Source organism: Homo sapiens, chromosome 12 (genome assembly GCF_000001405.40).
Source record: "Homo sapiens chromosome 12, GRCh38.p14 Primary Assembly".
NCBI lineage: Eukaryota > Metazoa > Chordata > Mammalia > Primates > Hominidae > Homo > Homo sapiens.
Genome location: NC_000012.12, coordinates 70,703,156 through 70,726,777, shown reverse-complemented (window position 1 = coordinate 70,726,777; position 23,622 = coordinate 70,703,156). Strand labels below are relative to the sequence as shown.

At 36.3% G+C, this 23,622-nt stretch overlaps 1 protein-coding gene and 1 long non-coding RNA gene across 10 annotated transcripts in view; one reads left to right on the top strand and one right to left on the bottom strand.

The window, feature by feature from the left end:
• LOC124902960 (uncharacterized) overlaps positions 1-7,582 on the bottom strand; it is a 54,602-nt gene extending 47,020 nt beyond the window's left edge. The window contains exon 1 of the long non-coding RNA XR_007063361.1: positions 6,955-7,582. This is a non-coding gene — a long non-coding RNA (uncharacterized LOC124902960). The remainder of the gene's footprint in view (positions 1-6,954) is intronic.
• Positions 1-23,622, top strand: part of PTPRR (protein tyrosine phosphatase receptor type R) — a 282,666-nt gene that overhangs the window by 193,961 nt on the left and 65,083 nt on the right. The gene's annotated exons all lie outside the window — the stretch shown is intronic.

The window sequence follows — 23,622 nt, the reverse complement described above, 5'->3', positions numbered from 1 at the left end:
GTAATCTCATCTCTACTAAAAATACAAAAATAAGCCTGGCATAATGGCATACACCTGTAATCCCAGCTACTTGGGAGGCTGAGATGTAAGAATCGTTTGAACTCAGGAGGTGGAGGTTGCAGTGAGCTATGATCACGCCACTGCACTCCAGCCTAGGTGACAGAGTGAGACTCTGTCTCAAAAAAAAAAAAAAAAATTAAATGCAGACTATCCCATGATGATACTGATAACAGATAACATTTATCAAGCACTTACTACATTCCAGGCACTGTTATAAATACTTTACATGTATAACTCATAAGAGTCAAAACTACCCTATCATTATTTTCCCCATTTTACAGAAAGGAAAACCATGGCTGCAGGAGGTTATGTCACTTGCTCAAGGGCATCCAATTGGCCATGAGAGGTGTGCAATAAATATAGAATACAGGTGGCCTGGCTCCAGACCCCAAATTGTCAACCACTGTACATACATTTCTAGGGCCTTAAATTTCTACCCAAATTTTAAGCCTGATTTTGCCCTAAAAACTGGGCATATGATAGGTTTTTGTTGCATTAAATTAGATTTTTTGTATAATTTTCTTGAATTAAGTTGACTAAAATATATACATATGTATATATTTTACAAGTGTAATGTAAAATGTTTTGCAAAAACATAAAGCAGACTGCAAAAAAAAAAAGCATCATTCTTTACTGGGTTTTAGCTTGGATCTTCTGGGTAATGTCATACAAAGAAGATGTTGAAAAATATCACTTGTGATCATCATCTATCTATGATGTGTACATTATAAGCAATAGTATTGACAATGATTTTACTATTTAGGGTTCAACAGGCGCAGTAATGTCCCTCCTTAGCGAAGAGAGACACATCATTGAATTTACCTTCAACCAGGGCTGTGCATTCATCCTAGAATTTGACAGAGTCTAGAAATATTGGCCTGTATGTCTCAGAGAGCCAGATATTTAACTCTTTGACGTTTAAAATTTTGTAACACTTGGTAAAGGTAAAAAATAAATAGACTAAGGGATGTTTTACCATTACTCTAAAGAAATAACCAATTCTAATTTTTTTTAATTCTTTTCCCCCATTTTCTCTGTTCTATTAAAACCATTTGTACCACAAGGACAATTGTCAGGGTACAACAACTCACCTAAGTTGGCTCTCGGTACTTTTTCCCCCTAATAATCAGTCCCCAAATCAATAACTGGAGAATCTGAATTTTTCCATGTGCTAAATTCTTTGCTGACAGAAGTACAAGAACTTAATACATTGGGGAGGTGGGGGGACTTCTATTTCCTGGCTAAAATATAGCTGCTTTTCCTAGATTTGGTGGATAATTTTATTCTATTGTGCTTTATTTATTCTTAGTAGAACTTGTGGGATTGTTTTCAGGATAATGTCAGGGTAATTGTTCACAATTGAGCTATGGGCCAACCCAAGGGCATTCTCCTGAGAATAGTTTGGCTAAAACATACAAAAATCTCTCCTCTTATCAAAAATATTTCTTCTTAAACATAAAGATAAGTGAGGAAAATTTTGACATGAGATAAAAATAACAAAATCAGTCAGTGACTGAATGTCTCGTATGCTCTTAGTACATAGCTAGATGGCAAATAAATCATGTCTCCCAGCCCTGTCTCTTCATGCTTATTTTATAATAGGAGGATATAATATAAGATGCCCTTCTCATACCGGGGCAGGGTGCACTCAACACCCTTTCTTTCTCAGGAAGGTGGAATAGGCCATGAGGCAGTACAAAATATTGACGAATATGAGATTTCAATATTTCTCCAGCCCTTATTAATATTTTTAATTTTAAATGAACTGTGCAAATAACACATCTTATAGAAATTTTGAAAGCATATTTAAGCAAAAACAAAAATAAAGATTATTTCCTAGCCAGTTGCACCACCAAAATAGCCACCATTAACATTATATAAATATATATATGTGTGTGTGTGTGTATATATATATATCCAGACTTACATACACATACATATATATACACACACTACACCTCTAGTAACTGCTAATAATAGTAACAGCAATGATAGCAATTGCAGCAGGAGCACGCACCAACACTACTTGTAACAGTAGCAGTAGCAGTGGTAACTACCAATAGGGGTCAGTAATAGCAACAACCTGAGAATATATCACTACAATGGCCAGAAACACAGAGGAAGCTGCAACAAGGGTAGCAGTAGCACTGAAGGTGTCTTGGTAGCAGAAACAGCAGCAATAGCAGTGCAGTAGTAATAAAAAACATTAATAATACCAGTTAAGAGTTACACTGTTGCATTTATTACGTTATCAAGCCCTGTTGTGTTTCACACATATTATCTCAATTAAGCCTCATAGAATTCCAGTGAAGCACGTGCACAAGTTGTATCCCCATTTTACAGATGAGAAAACTGGGCACATACAGGTTAAGTTGCCCAAGGTGACACAGTCTTAAAGGGTAGAACCTGAATTTGAACCCCCGGCAGTCTGGCTCCATAATCCACTCTTAACCACTATACTGGTAGTGACAGCAGAAGTAGCATGAATTCTAAAATTCAGTATGAGGAGTATTTTGCAATTTATATACACTTATAAAATGAATGAATACATTTTGGAAGTGATTCTGAAATTGGAAGAATAGAATGAAAGGATATGAAGTAACTTAAAAAACCTCTTATAACCAAAATGGTCATTTTTTACAACTTCCAACTTAGACTATCAAAGAAAGCATATTTTGCAAACATTTTGCTCTCCTATTTCATTCTTCCTCAAAAATCTGTATCTTTTTTTGTGTGTTTGTCTAATTTTGGGGAGTCTCTCACTGTGAATTTTTAAAAATAAAGAGCAAATTGCCATGCTCCTTAATTTATAGACATGCCTCTACATATTTAGGTGCTTAACAAGTTTCTGTAAATAAATGAATAAAGCAATAAAAAATAAAACTTCAGATTCACACTAAAAGCAAATAAAATTGAGTTGGGCCATGCACATACCACTCCAATAAGAATGTTATTTAATGCTAATGCAAAAGCAGCTAAGGAAATAAGAAAAATCTTTAAAAAAAACAAAAAGGTAAATTTGTTGATGCTTTGGTTGGTTCTCTTTTGCTTCCTATAATCCCACATTTTGAAAGTTTTATTTGCAACCTATATTTGTAATATTTAATCTGTGTGTACACTTGAGACTGTCCTTATAAAAAGGATTCTTTCTGCCTCTTAAAAGCTATAATTCAAGATAAAGTGAAAACCAAGTCGCTATAATGCATAAATAAGATTTTATCTTTGGAAAAATGAGAAAATATTGAGTCCTGGGCAAAATTTATGACCTCTAACATAAATTTGAATTGTGTCCTTTTTAATGATTTCAGATTGCCAGAAGTGGCAAAATTAGAAAAATTAAGTTTACATACAAAATAGCTTAAAAGGGGAAAAAAAAAAGCCCTCAAAAAGTTCTCTTGGAACTTTTCTGCTTAGGGTTGCAAGCTGAAATTTTGGTGATGTGCCTTGATTTAATTTCCAAGTCTCTTATCTGTAGTTTATTCTTGTTACTGCAGTTGCTACTGGTTTTTAACTTGTACACAGGAAACCAGTGCCAATCAATTTTGTTCCCAAGGTGACAGGAAACCCTGGTTGGTCAGATGTTGATTGTGCTTGCTGTTCATGCTCCACCCATCATATTTTCTTCCCTTTTGGCTGAACTTAAGACAAATTAATCAGTGGTCGACATCTGGCAGACAGTTTTGGTGTCTTCTCAGTGATTTGTTGACCCGCACATCTAAACAGTAAAAACTCAGTGCGTAAAACTTGTAGGCACTAAATATAAATGCTGCCAAGAATCTTTTTCAGGGACTTGGGTGGAAGGCCCATCTTTTGGCTTTTTACTTGAAAATGTGAATTTTCTTGAGTAATGAAACATCTGTTCAATAAATATCTCACCTTCTTTATGACGGCGGGTGGCTTACCTCACTCTATTGTAAATTCCAGATATGAACTGTGAAACAGGGGGCAAGGAAGGGCTCAGAGAATGTTAAGCTTTTTAACAGGCCTCTGCTGCTTGTAATTAATCTTTAGCCACCTGCATATTTTCTTCATAATGAGTCTTATCCCAAATAAACATATCCCTCGTCACTGAACACTCTGAGAGAAAATGTTGGTACCCAGATTCTGGCAAATAAGATAACTCATAAATAAAAGCTAAGCACAAAGTCAAGCCGGATGACCTCCGCGTCCCTCCAAGTCAAGCTTCTTTGGAGTCTCCTCTTTCAAACTCATGGTTTATGACTCTTAAAAAAGAAAAATTACAAACTGTTTACTAGCCTTGCGAACTCTTTTCAGAAATCATTTGTTTTAACGAGAGTGGTACTAAAATATAGGTCTAATTTTATCAGGTCTAGTGACAGGAGAGATCATGAGAAACATACAAGAAATGTTATCTCTATATAGGAAGATGAAGGAAGGTAACAATGCAGGAAGGTGGGATTTAGATAAACCTAAAAAGGGCAGGTATGTTGGACCGGATAGGCTTTTCCTGTTCCTAAAATGTCTTGTGCTCTTACACAGGAAAAGCATTCTTATTCACCCGAGGCATTTGCAAGTCCTAGGCACAAGACCTAAAAGGACCCTGGGTTCTGGTAGTAAGAAAGCAGGAAAGGAGTGGGTGGGAAAGGAAGCGTCCACGGGGGGCGCATAGCCGGGACAGATTTTTCAAAGGGTAAAAAAGCCTTTAGCCATTTTTCATCTATGCCTCCCTCATTTTGAAAACAAACTCTGCTAGTTTGTTCTTATTTCTTAATACAATACTTCCCATGCCAAAATTTGGATACATTTTAAATTGGGGTCAATTTGGGCTGTAGAGTCTCTAATGAATTGGTCAGCATGTTCATGCTCTTTGAGAGTCTGCTGCCCTCACTGACCTGCCAGTTCCAATAATCATCCAACTATCCTCCCAACGATTCCTTTCCTGGATATATTAGCAGGGCGAATTTCAATCCACTTTGTTTATTTGTTCACTACGGTATCTTCCATAGAAAAGCTAGGCCTGTGAAATAAAGATTAAACGGGCTAGAAAAGTTTGCGGTGTTATGAATCCTATACTGTGCAGAATTCATAATTCCAGTTTTGCCTAGTAGAAAAAAGCCCAAGATCATAAATATTTCTAAGCAGTCAGGGAAACTGCATTTGCCAAGGCCCTATAAGAAAGCTGATGGTGAACCCAAACAGAATCCTGCCAAATACCTAAAATGTGTTGAAATATATTTTATAATTCCTCCCCCACAATAGTCCACCTTTTGATTTGTGTGATAATCTATTTGGACAGGAGCTATCCACCGTGTGCCTGCTCTTCTTTCCACCTGCTGTTCCATCAGCCGAGGAAAGGGTTGTGCCCAAGGGAGGTGGCTGTCCATTGTTATTCACAATAGCGGTGCCCCTCATGAAATGCTCTGCCAGGATAGATAAATTACCTATTCTTAGACAGAAGTTTTATATATGTGCAATGTTGACTGACTCAGACTCTAATCAAAACTGTTCTCTTGGTTCTCCTCAGTATATTTCTAACTCCTCGGTATATTTCTAACCTATTTCTAACTGGAGAACTTTAGGATATTTGGCAGTACCATGTGTAAGTAAGAGCTTTTGCAGGACTTCCAAGCAAGAGAAGTAACAATGGGTATATGCCTGCAACACATTTCTTTTAGGGGAATATGGCACGAGTGTTTTTGTGGATTATCTGGTTTATATAAGATATGCATTTTAAATAACTAAACCTGTGTTGACATGCTTATACTAGAAAGCAGTGCTGTTAAGGAGCACCTCTATATAGGCAAACCCTATTCAGTGAAGAACCAAATCTGAGCTTTAATCTGAAACCAAATAGAAAAAGTTATTGGAGTCGAAGATGAGGGAGTGGGGTGAAATAAGATTATGTATCAAGCATATTCAAATATAGGATAATATCCTAGGGCCTAGTGGTAGTACCAATAAGAAAAATGTACCTGAGCCAGGTGTGGTGGCTCACGCCTGTAAGTCCTAGCAATTTGGGAGGCCAAGCCTGGGGGATCACTTGAGACCAGTTCAAGACCAGCCTGGGCAACATGGAGAAACCCTGTCTCTACTAAAAATACAAAAATTAGCCAGCTACTCTGGAGACTGAGGCAGGAGAATCGCTTGAACCCGGGAGTTGGAGGTTGCAGTGAGCTGAGGTCATGCAACTGCACTCCAGCCTGGGCGACAGAGCAAGACCCTGTCTCAAAAAAAAAAAAAAAAAAAATTACCAGGGTAACAGAGCAATACCTCTACATAGAGAGGAAAAAACTGGAAAAGACTTGGTAAGTCTATGCCTATACCTAACATTTGTGGAGCAGTTGCTATATGCCAGGTACTGTACAAGATGCATCACAGATATATAAAATCATTTCCTCCTCATATCCACCTCAGGTGGGTAAATTATATCATCTCAAATTTAATGATAAGGAAACGGAGACACAGGCATTCAAGCACATTTCCATGGTCGCAGAGTACATTACTGCAGAGATAGGATTCGAGCCCAGGTAATGTGCCCCCAGATCTCACGCTTGTTTCTATTTCCTGCTTCCCCTAATGACTAAGGCACCCGAGGATTTTTCTTTTTCCACCTTCTCCATATTCATAATTAGACTATATTAAATTTTTTCAGTGGAGGAATGGAAGCATTTTAAAATAAAATAATCTCTTCAGCCTAACACAGACCAATTCCACTTTGAGAAGAGCGATGGTTGCGCCTTGCACCCTCCAGGTGGCGCTTGTGCGCCACTTACAGACAGGAGAGGTTTCAGGGTCGTCGGCAGGGTGGGCTCTTGGTTTTGTTCAAAGGACATTTGAGCATTGTTTCTCTGTCCTCAACAATCCTACTTGAGACACTTGTTGCCATTGTAAGATTTAAAGGCAAATCAGATAAACAAAGAAAGGGCCACGTACCAATCCTAAAGCTGACGTGGAGCAGCCGAAGCCTCCCTTCGCAGAGGTCTGTTAATGGCATCCAGAGAAGACGCGCAGTCACTGTGGGTTCAGACTGCAGATGCTCTTAGCAGGGGTTTCCAGCTGGGCGCCCGTGGCCCTCTGGAAGGTTCTCATTTGGTATCCATCGGAAGGCCTTTTATCGCTTGTTAGTAATGATACAGATTTGTTGTAGAGGCAAGCAATTCTTTCAGTATTTAAGCCTTTGCAATTTTCATTATTTTTTTAAAAAAATGATTTTTTTTTTTGCCCTTTTGCTCCCCTTCCTAACAAAGGAAATTGTTAGGAACTATATTACTAATGTAATTTAGTCAAGGGGTTGTCAAGGAGTTCCATTAGGATTTGGATTGAAAAGGGATTTCTAGGATAAAGCACCGTTTTGCTGTAGATATGATCTTCTGGAAAGGATGGGGCCGGGCAGCCTCGTGAAGTTTGCATTCGTGAACTTTGGGTTCCCGTAATCCTACGGCATGCCTTATCGAGGACAGCCTAGGAGCGAATTGGCAGTAGGTTAGAAAGCATGATTAGAAGAGGGAAAGCTGAAATGGCCTTCATGTCGGCTGTTTTCCTCCACAGGATACTGGGTGATTCCTGTCCTAACCAGATACTGATTACTTAAAGCTTAGCCCGAGAGTTCTTGTCAAAAATGATTTCCGTAGCGTATTTTGACTTGCTGAGGTCTGAAGAACTTTGGGAATTTGTTAGGTGTGGATCTGAACTCCAGGAACCGGTCAGGAGTATTCAGTAAATGAACTCTATCCGTTTGAACAGAATGTCTTAAGCACCTCGTTTTTATCTCATTCACACTTCTCCGAATGTCCTCATCTGACATGGAGAATTATTGGTGGAAAATGTGCGTATTGATAATTCAGACATACGAAAGCAAAAAAGTCCAAAGGACTTATCTTCAAATTGTTTTACACAATATTTCAAGCATGTGCAAAATGGTATAAATATGTTTCAATCTGTAAATTTATGTATTCTTCTAGTATTTCCCCATTATAATTGAATCCTTGTTTTGTAAACATTTCACCTCATCTACAATATACACACTCAAAATATTTAAATTGTTGAAAACTATTTTTAGCATGAATACATTTTCTTCACATAAAATACAAAGGATTAATGTAACATCTAACTCTTTAAAACATTCCACCAAATATTCAACCCTGAATGGTAAGACACAAAAAAGGTGTGTATTTGTGTTTAAAACAGTGGACCGGCCAGGCATAGTGGCTCACACCTGTAATCCCAGCATTTTGGGAGGCTAGGCAGGCGGATCACGAGGTCAGGAGTTTGAGACCAGCCCAGCCATCATGGTGAAACCCCGTCTCTACTAAAAATACAAAAAATTAGCTGAGCATGGTGGCACACGCCTGTAATCCCAGCTACTCGGGAGGCTGAGGCAGGAGAATCGCTTGAACCCAGGAGGCAGCGATTGCAGTGAGCTGAGATCGTGCTATTGCACTCCAACCTCAGCAGCAGAGCAAGACTCCATCTCAAGAAAAAAAAAAAACAGTGGACCATGAGGTATTTATTTTAAATCTCTCTTAGAAGTATAGCTTCCAGTGTTAAATCTATACAATACTTTGTTGTCTCAAATGTTCGGCAGACAAGAAGCAATTCCAATTCTATAAAAAATATAACATTTAAATCAAAGTAATGGGTTTTCTAAAAGTCATTTTATCCTGATTCAGACAGTTAGTATTTGAGAGACTTTTCAAATACCATGGCTGTATAGTATTTTTAAAAAGAAGATTGTATTTTTCTTTTCTTAGCATAGATGCCTATTCATGCCAGAAATCAATAAGCATTATTACAGGAAAATTACTGACCAATTATCAGGTTTTATATGATAATTGTTTAATATGTAATAAAAGCAAATACTATTTTTTTTCCTTTGGAATCAATGCAAAACATTATGATAAACAGAAGAAATAATTCATTTCTAGTCAGTTTGGAAACTCCTTTGTATTTCATTCTTATTTTCCTTTTCACACCTACAAATCCCTGCCATGCACACAGGAAATGCCCGGATGCATGGAAGAAATTAAAATTAGGTCAATTGTGTTCCATCTTGTTAGGTTAGCCAGGCATTCTGTAGATATGGGACATGTTCTGTATTTAACAATTTTGTCCTGTGTCTTGTATTGACTTTGTCAGGATGTGCTGCATGTCCTGTACTAAGCATTTTTTCATTAAATTACAAAAATGTGATAGAGCTATTTTTCAAAATCTAACTGGGGCGAGTCTTGTGCTTGTGTTTGCTCAATTTGGTGACCCTATCCCTTGTAATCCTTTGTTAGAGTCTTTCAGTACTTAGACTCATTTGTGTATTTCTTGAGTTCATTTTCATCAGAAATGATCATTTTCAGAATGAAATGTCACTGGTATAGCTTAGGACAGCTTAATATGCTAAGATGACAGAGTTAGCTGGTATCAGAAGTTATTCTCACCTAACACTCTCTCTTTATTTGAAAAGAATGTTAGTGCTCAATGTTTTTAAAGATTTTCTGTGTTCATTATTATGTCATTCACAGAAACATATATTGGAGATATAATAAAAATGTCATTATTGAGTATCAGAAATTAAGAGTTGTCCAGATAAATATTATGATTTTTATATTAAAAGATCTCTGATGAAAAGAAATAATGAATTAACTCATAAAACAATACCTGAGGAAGAATAGTATGTTAGAGAAACAAAGAATATTCTTGTAGCCGTTGTTTAAAAGTCTGTTTTTACATATTCTTCACTGCCATCTGCCTGAGAGAAATGTTGAATATAGTAAGTTTAGAACATTTTAATTTTGTCTTTATGGTTATAGTAGTGATTTGGATGATATATTCTTGCAGTGAGAACTTAATGATTACCAGTTGCATATCTATAGGGAAGACTGAAGTGTCTTCTGTGATACACAAAATGATTTTATTTTATGGGACAGGGACTTGTTCTGTCCCCAGGCTAGAGTGCAGTGGCACAATTATAGCTCACTGCAGCCTTGAACTCCTGGGCTCAAGTGATCCTTCCTGCCTCAGCCTTCCAAGTAGCTGGTATTACAGCCATGAGCCACCACGCCCAGCAAAATGCTATTTTAAATAATCTTTGATGAATAGTACTTGTAGCTGATATGGTAGATACCATAGGTCCTAGGTGCTTACTGTCTTGTATATCCAAAGTGGCTGAAAAAAGTTACCATTACCTATGTAAGTCTAGATAATTGAGAGAGTGGTCTCAAAGTGGGGCATGTGCATCCCAAGAAATGTGTAAAATGATCCATTAGGGTGTAAAACATATATATTACAAAAAAAGTACATTTATCTTGCCCTTTCCTACTTCAAATTTTGTAAATATTTCATAATTTGCATAATACATAAGTATAATAGTACATGTATATAATTTACAAATACATAAATTTCATTAGAGGCAAACTTTTTTTTTTTTTTTACTTAGAAGACAGACAATAGAAAAAAATTGAAAATTATTAACAATTCTACCCAAAAATGGGAGATAAAGTTAGAGTACATATATAGTGGACCCAATCTGAGTGTTTTCTAGCATGTCTAGAATTCCAGTATTTTAATGATTTTATCCTGTTATAAACACTTAGAAGCTGATAGATAAAAGAGGTAAAGAGGCTGCTTTATGTAAGGTTGCGGGAAGTCAGGGACCCCAAACGGAGGGACCGGCTGAAGCCTTGGCAGAAGAACCTGGATTGTGAAGATTTCATGGACATTTATTAGTCCCCCAAATTAATACTTTTATAATTTCTTATGCCTGTCTTTACTGCAATCTCTAAACATAAATTGTAAAGATTTCATGGACACTTATCACTTCCCCAATCAATACCCTTGTGATTTCCTATGCCTGTCTTTACTTTAATCTCTTAATCCTGTCAGCTGAGAAGGATGTATGTCGCCTCAGGACCCTATGATAATTGCATTAACTGCACAAATTGTAGAGTACCTGTGTTTGAACAATATGAAATCTGGGCACCTTGAAGAAAGAACAGGAAAACAGCAATGTTCAGGGAACAAGACAGAGAACCTTAAACTCTGACCACCAGTGAGCCGGGCGGAGCAGAGCCATATTTCTCTTCTTTCAAAAGCAAATGGGAGAAATATCGCTGAATTCTTTTTCTCAGCAAGGAACATCCCTGGGAAAGAGAATACGCGCCTGGGGGTGGGTCTCTGAACTGGCCCCCCTGGGCGTGGCCATCTGTTATGGTCTGTAGACTGTAGGGGTGAAATAGACCCCAGTCTTGCATAGCGCTCCCAGGCTTATTGGGAAGAAGAAATTCCCACCTAATAAATTTTGGTCAGACCGGTTGCTCTCAAAACCCTGTCTCCTGATAAGATGTTATCAATGACAATGGTGCCGGAAACTTCATTAGCAATTTTAACTTTGCCCCGGTCCTGTAGTCCTGTGGTCTCGTGATTTCACCCTGCCTCCATTTGCCTTGTGATATTCTATTACCTTGTGAAGTACTTGATGTCTGTGACCCATACCCTGTTCGTATACTCCCTCCCCTTTTGAAACTCCCTAATAAAAACTTGCTGGTTTTACGGCTTGTGGGGCATCACAGAACCTACTGACATGTGATATCTCCCCCGGACGCCCAGCTTTAAAATTTCTCTCTTTTGTACTCTGTCCCTTTATTTCTCAAACCAGCCGATGCTTAGGGAAAATAGAAAAGAACCTACATGACTATCGGGGCAGGTTCCCTGATATCGTAATGTCTTAAATAACAAAAAAAAAATTATTTTGGCATACTCAATATATAGAAGAAACTTTTTTTGGAGACAGGGTCTCACTCTGTCACCAAGGCTGGAGTGCAGTAGCGTGATCACGGCTCACTGTAGCCTCAACCTCCCTAGGCTCCAGCGATCTTCCCACTCAGCCTCCCAGGTGGCTGGAACTACAGGAACACACCACCATGCCCAGCGAATTTTTGTATTTTTTGTAGAGATGGGCTTTTGCCATGTTCCCTTGGCTGGTCTCAAACTCCTGGGCTCATGCAATCTGCCCGCCTCAGCCTCCCAAAGTGCTGGGAGTAAAGGTGAGAGCCACTGCACCTGGTCTATAGGAGAAACTTATATTATGTTCGTACAGATACATTTGCATGAATAAACAAATATACAGTAGAAGACTTTCCATGGCAACATTGTTGGTAATAGCAAAAAGAATTGGAAATAAATATCTATTAACATATATATATAATTGTGCATTTAATTATGAAATCCACATTGTTGTTCTAATAAGACAAATTTTCCAATATATAATGTAAAGTAGGGAAAAAGTTGCAAAACTATATGAAATTTTATGATCCAATTTATATTTGTCTTTGTAAGTGCGTGGGCAATTGAAAGAAGGGTACATAACCCAAATTGTGGTGAGCTGTGAGAAGCAGAGCCAGAAAATCAGGAGGCGGGAAGAACTAGGGGAAGAGGGCTTTCTTTTTCATTTGCTTCCTTCTGCATTATTTGAAAACTTTAGTATAAGTATGTATTAATTTTATAATTAAATTAACATTTTAATAATTAAAACAAGATATTGTTTTCTTTGAATTAATAGATATTTATATCATAGATATGTCTATTCAATATAAAATGAAGTGAGACTAGAACAGTAACCACATTATTTGAATAATAATGTAGGCAGACACAGTCATGAAGACCACAGAGATACCTTCAGGTATCTACTTCAGAATAACTTAGTGCCAAAACTTCACTTTTAATCTATGCTGTGTCTCCATAACTGATGGGATAAGACCTACTACATTAGGAGGGTTGCTCTGCTTCACTCCGTCTTCCAATGTAAATGTTGCTCTCATCCAAAACACGCTCAGAGAAACACCCACAATAAGGTTTGACCAAATACCCAGGCAAACCATGGCCCACTCAACTTGACATATAAAATTAATCATCACAAATACTATCAGAAAGTGAAAAGACAATTCATAGAATGGGAAGGCATATATGTAATAAGGGTCTAGTGTCCAGAATATATACATAATTTTACAACGCAAAATAAAAAGACAACCCAAATTAAAAATGGGCCAAGGATTTCATTAGGCATTTATCCACAGAATATATATAAATGTCCAGTAAGCCAAAGAAAACATGCTCAACATTGTCAGTCATTAGGGAAATGTAACCAAAGCCACAATGAGATACACTTCACACCTACTAGGATGGCTATTATTAAAAAAAAAAAAAGGCAGCAGCAAGTATTAGCAAGAATGTGGAGAAATTGGAAATCTCAGACATTGCAGATGGAAACATAAAATGGTACAGCCACTTTGGAAAAGAATTTGGTAGTTTCTCAAAAAGTTAAATGTAGTTACCATATAACCCAGAAATTCCATTCCTAGGTGTATACCCAAAAGAAATGAAAACATATGTTCATGCAAAACTTAAACACAAATGTTCGTAGCAAAATAATTCATACTAGCCAAAAGTAGAAACAACCCAAATGTCTATCAACTGATGAATGAATACACAAAATGTGGGTGTATCCATACAATGGACTATATTGTGCCATGAAAAGGAATGTAGTACTGATAGATGCTACAACATGGATGAACCGTGAAAACATTTATGCTACGTAAAAGAAGTCAGACAAGACACAAGAGGCCATACGTTGTATGATTCCATTTATACGAAATGTCCAAAGCAGGTAAATCTACAGACACAGCATGTATATTAGTGGTTTCTAGAGCCTGGAGAGAGAGAGAAATACAGAGTAACTGCCAGTGAGCAGGGAGAATTTTTTTGGGGGGAGTGAGGAAAATGCTTTAAAATTTATTGTAGTGATGCTTATACAACTAAGTGACTATAATAAAAACCATTGAATTTTACACTTTGGAAATGTGAATTTTATTGTACATAAGTTGATCTCAATAAAAAAGAGGAGGGAGTATATATAACTTTAGTTTTCTATCATAAATATTACTCATTAATATTATATAAAATTGGTTGGGAATTGCTTCTGGGCATTTTTTCATTTTGTTTGATTTGGTTAAAGCATGCTAATTTAGAACATTTTTATTTCTGGAAAAGCAAAGGGATATATTTCTTATAGCAAGCATAAAAACGTCCTTTACGTGACAAATTTCAGTTCACTCTAAAATGTGTATATTTTGCATTCCAGAAATACTTATTTTTTACCAGTCTATCTGCTCCTTGGACATAATATAGATAATAAAACACAGTATCAAAAATAAAAACTCTTTACTTCATCTGGTATGCCTAATATCTGCACTTGAGTGAATGGCTATTTGATTTTCAGGGTTATCTTGCAATTATTTTATCTGACACTGGATGAGGAAGGACCCAGAAAAAAATGAATTATTATGAATGGCATCAAATCAACAAATCCCAGTTACTTATGGGGAGAGGTTTATTTTAACTATTGGCAACTGTGTTAAATAATTTATATTTAGGCATTCATCCATGTACTAGGCATCACCGATAACATGATTGTGTATTTATACTGGCAAGAATCTGATCACGGTGATCAAATCAAGTGCATTCTCTTCATTTAATTCTAACACAGCCCTTCCAGGTAATTGGCGCCTTCCTTCCTTCCACCTGAAGACTGATGATACTTTAAATATAATCTGTGGCCACAGAGTAACCCAGCAAAGTCATTGACTCTCCACTGGCCAAAAAGAAGCCACTCCCTACTCTGAAATTCCAAGGTGAAAGGCCAGTGACTTGTAGGGAGCAAAGGTCATCCTGGTTTATTTGCAAAGCACCTAACTGACCAAAGCCCACGATTACATGGCGGGTGGTACACTTTTAAATGAACACTGAACAAACACAGAGATGTATATTTAAATAACTTACTGTTCTTGGGTAAACATTTGGAGAAACTCTGGAGAGAGTAGATTTTCATAATTTTGATTGAGAGTTCATTTTAGGTAAAGGCAGACCTTGATGTACCCTGCTTAATGACTTAAGATATCTGCTTTTTATATCAAATGACTGAGATGGAATCTAGAATCTTTCAGATAGATATTAAAGGGTACTTTTAAAAATACATAATCCTTGGCATAAATGTAAAAATTTTCTTTGTGAATACTTAACTTTATAAATGTTTCTTTCCAATGACTAAAAACAAATTTAAGGATTTGGAATTAAAATAAAGGGCTCTTTTTTGACTTCTATGTTAAGTTCAGGGGTACATGTGCAGGTTTGTTACGTAGATAAACTTGTGTCATGGGGGTTTGTTGTATACATTATTTCATCACCCAGGTTAATACCTACTACCCCTTAGTTATCCTACTACCCCTAAATATAAATAAATATACTAAATATAAATATACTAAATAATCCTACTACCCCTTAGTTATTTTTCCTGATCCTCTTCCTCCTCCCACTCTCTACCCTCCAATAGGCTCCAGTGTGTGTTTTTCCCCTCTACATATCCATGTGTTCTCATCATTTAGCACCCACTTATAAGGGAGAATATACAGTGTTTGATTTTCTGTTCCTGTGTTAGTTTGCTAAGGCTAATGGCCTCCAGACCCATCCATGTCCCTGCAAAGGACATAATCTCGTTCTTTTTTTATGGCTGCATAGTATTACATGGTGTATATGTAGCACATTTTCTTTATCCAGTCCATCATTACTGGGCATTTATGTTGATTCCGTGTCTTTGCTGTTGTGAATAGCGCTGCAATGAACATATGTGTGAATGTGTCTTTATAATAGAGCAATTTATATTCCTTTGGGTATATGGGATTGCTGGGTCGAATGATATTTCTGTCTATAGGTCTTTAAGGAATTGCCACCGTGTCTTTCACAATGGTTGAATTAATTTACACTCCCACCAACAGTGTATAAGCATTCCTTTTTCTCCACAACCTTGCCAGCATATGTCATTTTTTGACTTTTTAATAGTAGCCATTCTAACTGGTGTGAGAGGGTATCTCATTATGGTTTTGATTTGCGTTTCTCTAATTATCAGTGATGTTGAGATTTTTTTCATATGATTGTTGACTGCACCTATATCTTCTTTTGGGAAGTGTCTGTTCCTGTCCTTTGATCACCTTTTAATGAGATTTTTTTTCTTGTAAATTTGTTAAGGTTCCTTATAGATGCTGGATATTAGACCTTTGTCTGATGCAGAGTTGGCAAAAATTTTCCCCCATTCTGTAGGTTGTCTGTTATACTCTGTTGATAGTTTCTTTTGCTGTGCAGAAGCTCTTTGGTTTAATTAAATCCCATTTGTCAATTTTTCCTTTTGTTGAAATCATTTTTGACATCTTCATCATGAAATGCCTATGTCCTTGCCTATGGCTTGAATGGTATTGTCTGGATTTTCTTAAAGGATTTTTATAGTTTGGGTTTTTACATTTAAGCGTTTAAGCCATCTTGAGTTAATTTTTGTATATGATATAAGGAAGGAGTCCAGTTTTAATTTTCTGCATATGGCTAGTCAGTTCTCCCAGCACCATTTACTGAATAGGGAATACTTTCCCATTGCTTGTTTTTGTCAGATTTGTTGAAGATCAAATAGTTGTAGACGTGCAGCCTTATTTCTGGCATCTCTATTCTGTTCCATTGGTCTCCGTGTCTGTTTTTGTCCCAGTACTATGCTGTTTTGGTTACTGTAGCCCTGTAGTATAGTTTGAAGTCAGGTAGCATGATGCCTCCAGCTTTGTTCTTTTTGCTCAGGATTGTCTTGGCTATTTGGGCTCCTTTTTGGTTCCATATGAATTTTAAAATAGTTTTTCTAGTTCTGTGAATAGTCTTTCTCAAAAATTGTTGTAACAGTTAAATGAGATAATTCAGGTAAGCCATTTCTTACAAACTTGGCTTAATTAATATTAAGTGCCATCATTGAATCTATAAATCATTTTGGGTAGTATGGCCATTTTAATAATATTAATTCTTCCTATACATGAACGTGGAATGTTTTTCCATTTGTTTGTATCATCTCTGATTTACTTGAGCAGTGTTTTGCAGTTCTCCTTGTAGAAGTCTTTCATCTCCCTAGTTAGCTGTATTCCTAGGTATTTTATCCTTTTGGGGCAATTGTGAATGGGAGTTCATTCCTGATTTGCCTCTTGGCTTGACTGTTGTTGGTGTACAAGAATGCTAGTGATTTTTGCACATTGCACATTGATTTTGTATCCTGAAACTTTGCTGAAGTTGTTTATTCGCTTCAGAAGCTTCTGGGCTGAAACTCTGGGTTTTCTAGATATAGGATCATGTCATCTGCAAACAGGATCATGTCATCTGCAAACAGGGATAGTTTACTTCCTCTTTTCCTATTTGAATGCTCTTTATTTCTTCCTCTTGCCTGATTTCTCTGGCCAGGACATCCAATACTATGTTGACTACAAGTGGTGAAAGCATTCTTGTCTTGTGCTGATTTTCAAGGGGAATGCTTCCGGCTTTTGCCCATTCAAGTATGATGTTGACTGTGGGTTTGTCATATATGGCTCTTAGTATTTTGAGGTATGCTCCTTTAGTACCTAGTTTATTAAGAGTTTTTAACATGAATGGATGTTGAATTTTATTCTTTTCTGTATCTATTGAGATGGTCATGTGATTTTGTCTTTAGTTCTGCTTATGTGATGAATTACATTTATTGATTTGTATATGTTGAACCAACCTTGCATCCCAGGATAAAGCCTACTTGATCACAGTGGGTAAGCTTTTTGATGTGCTGCTGGATTTCGTTTGCCAGTATTTTATTGAGGATTAGTGTATCAATGTTCATCAAGGATACTGGCCAGAAGTTTTCTTTTTTTATTGAATCTCTGCCAGGTTTTGGTATCAGGACAATAGGTGTCATTTCTGGCCTTACAAATAAATGAATATATTTAATTTATTTGTAATGATCAGGATTAAAAGGGTTCTTTGGTAGTTGATTGCATAAAGAGACAGGAGGTTATTCATTGTATTGTGCTACTTAGAAAATGCCGTGTGTGTGTGTGTGTGTGTGTGTGTGTGTTTGTATTTGTATTTATATTTAAATCAGCTGAAATTCAAAGAAGACTTCTCATTTCACAAGGAATGGCTTAGTCATTGAGATTTATTAATTTTTTTAGCATCTTTTTCTTAAATAATTATATAAACTAGGAAAAATTAACTTAGGAACTAAAAATAGAACTACTATCATTTTGTTATTTTGTTGAAAGGGAAACAGCCTCCTCACCATGAATGACAGTCAAAACAATACCAAATGACAAAAAAAAAAGGAGTAAAAATTAATCATCCTTGGTTACAAAACAAAGCAGTACATTTTCTTCCTTTTTCTGAATAAAATTAACATAGGATGTAACTTTAGGATGTTAATGCTCAGACTTTATTGATGCTTAAACAAGATTCAAACTGAATCACAACTGTAACATTTACCTATGTAAGCTTGGCTTCTACACTCCAAATTTTCAGACTCCTGTTTAATATAGTCCCCCCAATTCCTGTATTTTCAGAGGACTGGAAAAACCGTCAAAGCACAGTAATTACATATAGCATCCCCCTAACCAATTCATTTGCAACTATTCATCCACGCAGATGCCAAAAGTGTTGCTCTCCATCTGTTCATGACTGGGTACAACAGGAGAACTCAAGTCAAAGTCTTTGGCCTCAATGTGTTCACACTTTACTGCAAATCATTTCTAGTGAATATGATATATATTGGATACATATTGGGAAAATTGCTAGGAAGTCTCAGAGGAAAGAGCCCCTGGCATTTGGAGGATTGAACCTGAAAGTGTTGGGGCAAGCACATTTGAGGCATAGAGAACAGAACTGCAGGTAGATTGTCTGCCTGGGACACAGGTCCGGATGAGAATGTGACAGGAGATGAGGATGGAGAAATACACAGTAGATAGATTAGGAAGCATCTTACGTCAAAAGGGTAGCTACTTGCAGGTTTTATCATATTTTCAGTGCTCAGATATTCCAGTGAAATCTGGAAAAAATCTACTGAACTAGGAGATTTTAGAGTTAGGAAGCCTTGCTAAGGAACAACTGCAAAGGTCTGAACCAAAGAGGAAGAGAGTTTGAGCTACATCAATATCAGCGAGCTCCAAGAGTCTGTCTTCATGCCTCTTCCACACTGCGAGTGCCCACTGACTTCTCCAAACTCAAGAGATTTTGAGTTAGTTTTTAAGACTTCTTGACTGAAAAGTAATTAGGGAAATGCACAAACATTGAAGTACAAGGATGTTCATTACAGTTTTGTTTATAATGGTGAAAAAATTGAAAATGACTCAATGTCCAAAAATAAAGTATTGGTTAAATAACTATGACACATCTCAATAATGGGATACTATCAAATGTTTGAAAACAGTGTTTAAAAAAATTTGAGGACATGAAAAGACATTCATGATATAGTTTTTTTAAAAAGTAAATCATATGCAATGGTTCTGTGCCTACTTCCTTTTTTTAAAAGTAAATCATAAAAGAATATATTGAATAAAAATCTAGATTTTTGTCATACATATAAGGACTTGAAGGACATACACAAAAAATGTTCTTAGCAGTTACTCTAAATATGGGTATTATGAAATTTGTAAAATCTCTATTTTTAGCTTTAGTTAACATGCATTATTTTTGAATCATGAAAACATTGTTAACTTTAAAGACATTAGGTATAAATGTTAAGGACTTGAAGTATGAAAAATAGTCCCAACTTAGACGACCATTGATTTTGCATGTGTGATACTGCTGCTAACTCTTAATCACTAACCAATTTTCTCAACTTTACCTCCCTCAAATGTTCATCAGTGTGTACTCATGTAGCTCCCACATAGCTGTGTAAATAGAGAGTGAAGCAAAAATCACCATGTTATTATTAATTATGATAATAATTCATATATGTTTATTATATCCCAGACATTAGGGTGGAAGTATTCACATATTCTTGCTTATTTATCTTTTATGGTGTGAGTCAATTTTGTGAGTTTTATTATTATTCCCATTTGCAGATTATGCAGTCTAAGGTCCAAGTTGCTTAAGCGAAATGCAGAACAATGATTGAACGCATTTTCCAAGGTCAATATTTCAAGAGTAATGTGACAAGTTCAATGTATCTGGTTCTTTTAAATGATTGTTTTGAATTTTTTTTGTAAAATAAGGGTGTAGTAAATTTTGCCTTGTCCTATACACATATAAAAGGTCAGACATCTTTTTATGAATTCAAAACTTTTATAGATTCAATCAAAAGGCATAGCAACATTCTACCTAGTGAGGTGTAGGTCCTTTCAGGTAGGAAAATGGATCATTTCCTACACTAAAAATGTTCTCTATGTTAAAAGATTTTCTTTTTACTTTAGGGTGAAATTCATATATCATCTTCCTGGGTTCATGCCTGGCATCTTTTATATTTATTATTATTTCTTCCCTTCAGGATTTCCTTTGGGAAATTTTATTATGAATGGTCACAATACCTACTCATTTATTTCAGTTCTCGAAATTGGTAACACTCCATTTATGTCACAATTTAACTTTCCTAGTGGTCCGTGTTTATTTCTGTTTTATCCTATCATCTTTCAAGTGATCCAGAAAGAGGGTTGGTACTATGTATAATTTACTGGAAGATAAAGAGATGGAAACAGCATAACATTATTAAATGCCATTAACCTCGGAACTTAAAAGTCATAGAATTGGGAGTTGCAAAAACTGCCTATGCCACTCAGTCCACACAAAGTAAAAGAATTCCATCTCTCCATTTCTCCACTTTTGTCTCCTTTGTTATTCAAATGAGCAAAAACTTGTTTTTTTTTTCCTTTTTCATTCTGTTTAAGTAGAGTTATTCTAGAAAACTATGTAGAAAAATTGTATGTGCAAAATTAAATAAGTTGTGGGTGAGAGGGTTTAAGGTCACCTTTTATGATCAAGCCAAGATTGTCAGATTCATGGCCACTGTAACACACAAGGATGAATAGTTGGACTAAAGGATTCAAGATCACATTTTCAGTTCTGAAGACAACATCAACATTAAAGTTCTTGCTTCTCACCACATAAGATTTGACGTGTACACTAATGAAGACAACTCCAGACAAATTATATATACTTTTCACAGAACCAAAAAAAAAAATCTCGGAAGTCAAATCTGTTTGCTTTCATTCTGTACTAAATTCTTCTTATAATCTTTAAAATCCATATTTTTCCGTTCTCATTTCAAGTATTTCAAGATAAGCAGCTGCCACCATTTCCCACTGAAACTTAATTTCATAATCCAACAGTTTCAAAAGTACATCTTCCGGGACTACAAGAAAAAATGATCATCTGTTTCATTTTGTCCTCTTCCATTTCCATTCTTTATTGGTTGCTAAATGAGGTATACTGCTTGAAGTCTCACTGTTCTCAGTGACCAAAGTACTGCAAAAAAAGTAGCATGTCTGAGAATTAGAGCCCGTAGACATGATACTAGAAATTTTAGCCCTTTCTTCCTAAATTCAGCTTCTAAAATCTAGCATTATGGTCCCCAACTACCGGGAAAATAAATGCCTGGTTTCTGAGTTATTCCAACACTCAGTTGTAATGTTACTGTATTTTTAGCTACGTTTTCTTCCCACCTCTAAGTCATTAGAAACTGATGTCATTAGAATTGAACAATTTTGACCCAAAGTTGTTTATATTCTCTTGCTGAAATGGATGTGTCGCCCTGGCCCATAATATTTATACATATTTTCCTTTTTAGTTAATTATAATTAGCATGCTGTTTATTGCATTCCTTTTACCTTTCCCTAAGAATTTGCTTTTTCCTTCAATTGTTTGCATTGGTATCTTTTGAATTTCCTCCCTCTTATTTATTTTTTGGCATAAATAATAATTGGTGCTGCAGCAGGAGCTTGATAAAGCTTTTTATTATGTTCCCTTTTGTCCAACAGCAATCATGAGGCATTAAAAAGGCTAAACAGTTTGCCCACAGTTCCAAGACAAAATAAAAGTAAAGCTTTCAGTAGAGTTCGTTTTCTTGCTTTCCACATTCCTTTTTTATTAAAGGTATAGTTCTCCTATTATTTATGTTGATTTTTTTTCTAAATTCTGTCAATTTTTTTATACGTCTTAATTAGAATTTTCCCATAAGTTTATATGTTTATCTTGTTTTTGAAATGTCTTTCTGACTGTAATATATAAATGGTTATTATTTAAGTCAGTTAGCATGAAAATGCTTCCACAGCTCTCTGCTTACCACAGAATCCTTAGAAAATTAACTCATTAAATCAAATAGACCTTAGACACGGGATGTCAAAGGCTTCTAATCTCCCAGGTTTAGGCAGCGTATACTGTGGGAAGTCAAAACAGAAATTAATACACCCTGATGATGTTCTGGATCCTCTTTTATCTGGCTTTTTTTTTCGTTATTTATGTATTTATTTATTTATTTATTTTTGACATGGGGTCTCACTCTGTCACCCAACCTGGAGTACGACAGTGGTGCAATCTTACCTCACTGCAGCCTCGAACTCCTGGGCTCAAGCAATCTTCCGGCCTCATCCTCCCGAATAGCTGAGACTACAGGCAAGCACCACAACACTTAGCTATTTTATTTTTTGTAGAGACAGGGTCTTGCTATGTTGCCCAAGCCAGTCTCAAACTCCTGGCCTCAAGTGATCCTCCTGCCTCAGTCTCCCAAAGTGCTGGGATTACAGATGTCAGCCAACATCCCTGGACTATTTTTGGGCTTTTTATAGTCTTATAGTGTCTATGACTGTTGCTTCTCTCTCATCTCTCTTACATAAGCCTGCTCCCCAATTTCAAAATACATTTTTATACAAGAGAACTCTAGCTCAAACTGCTTCTATGCTGTTCTTCAAAGTTGTATTAATTTATTCTCCTACACTTTTTTTCCTACCAGATTCTTTAACTCTAGACCAAAAACTCACCTATTAAACGTTTGCTTTCAAAGCCCAACTTAAATGACTTCTACCTCATGAATCTGCTCTGACCACTCCAGATGGAAGAGATCTCACCATCTATAGCACAAGCATCACTCCATTGACAGAGGGCAGACAATTTTGTCTCTTGAGGCTGAAAATTTGACTGAATGGCATGGTGATTTTAAAGGGCATAGGACTAGCCATCCCTTAAGCGGCCTCTCTCACCTTCATACTAAAATATCTATAAAGCTTGCAAAAGCTGAATTCTCACAAATGCCCTAAATATTAAGACCAATCGGCAAACTATTATCAGAATCCGTAAGGATTTTCTATCAATTTGAAGTCCAGAACTGAACTGAAAAACTTTAAAAACTACTTTCCCACTAAAAATAGATTAAATTCTTGGTCCATGAGTAGAACCATTCTTTGCTCTTCTTCAACTATTTGCCTCCTACTCAGAAGCACAGGAACCCTATCAACCACCACCAAAAACCAAATAAGAAAAAGTGGAGTGGGAAAAATATCCCTCTATTAGGTAGGCAGGATTTTATGAGCATCTAGAATAAATGCTATTCCCTAATCCCTAACCCAGTGATCCAAAAGAGTTAAGAAGAATAATAGGATGAGAAAAAGTTTTCAGAAACATACCCCCCAAAACATATAGGCATATCAATATTCATTTTTTAAAGCCAGATGTGAGGGCAAATATAAAATTAACAGGAAAGAAAGTAATATTGGTAACATTTATAGTGAAGATATGACTAAATCCCTTCAAATA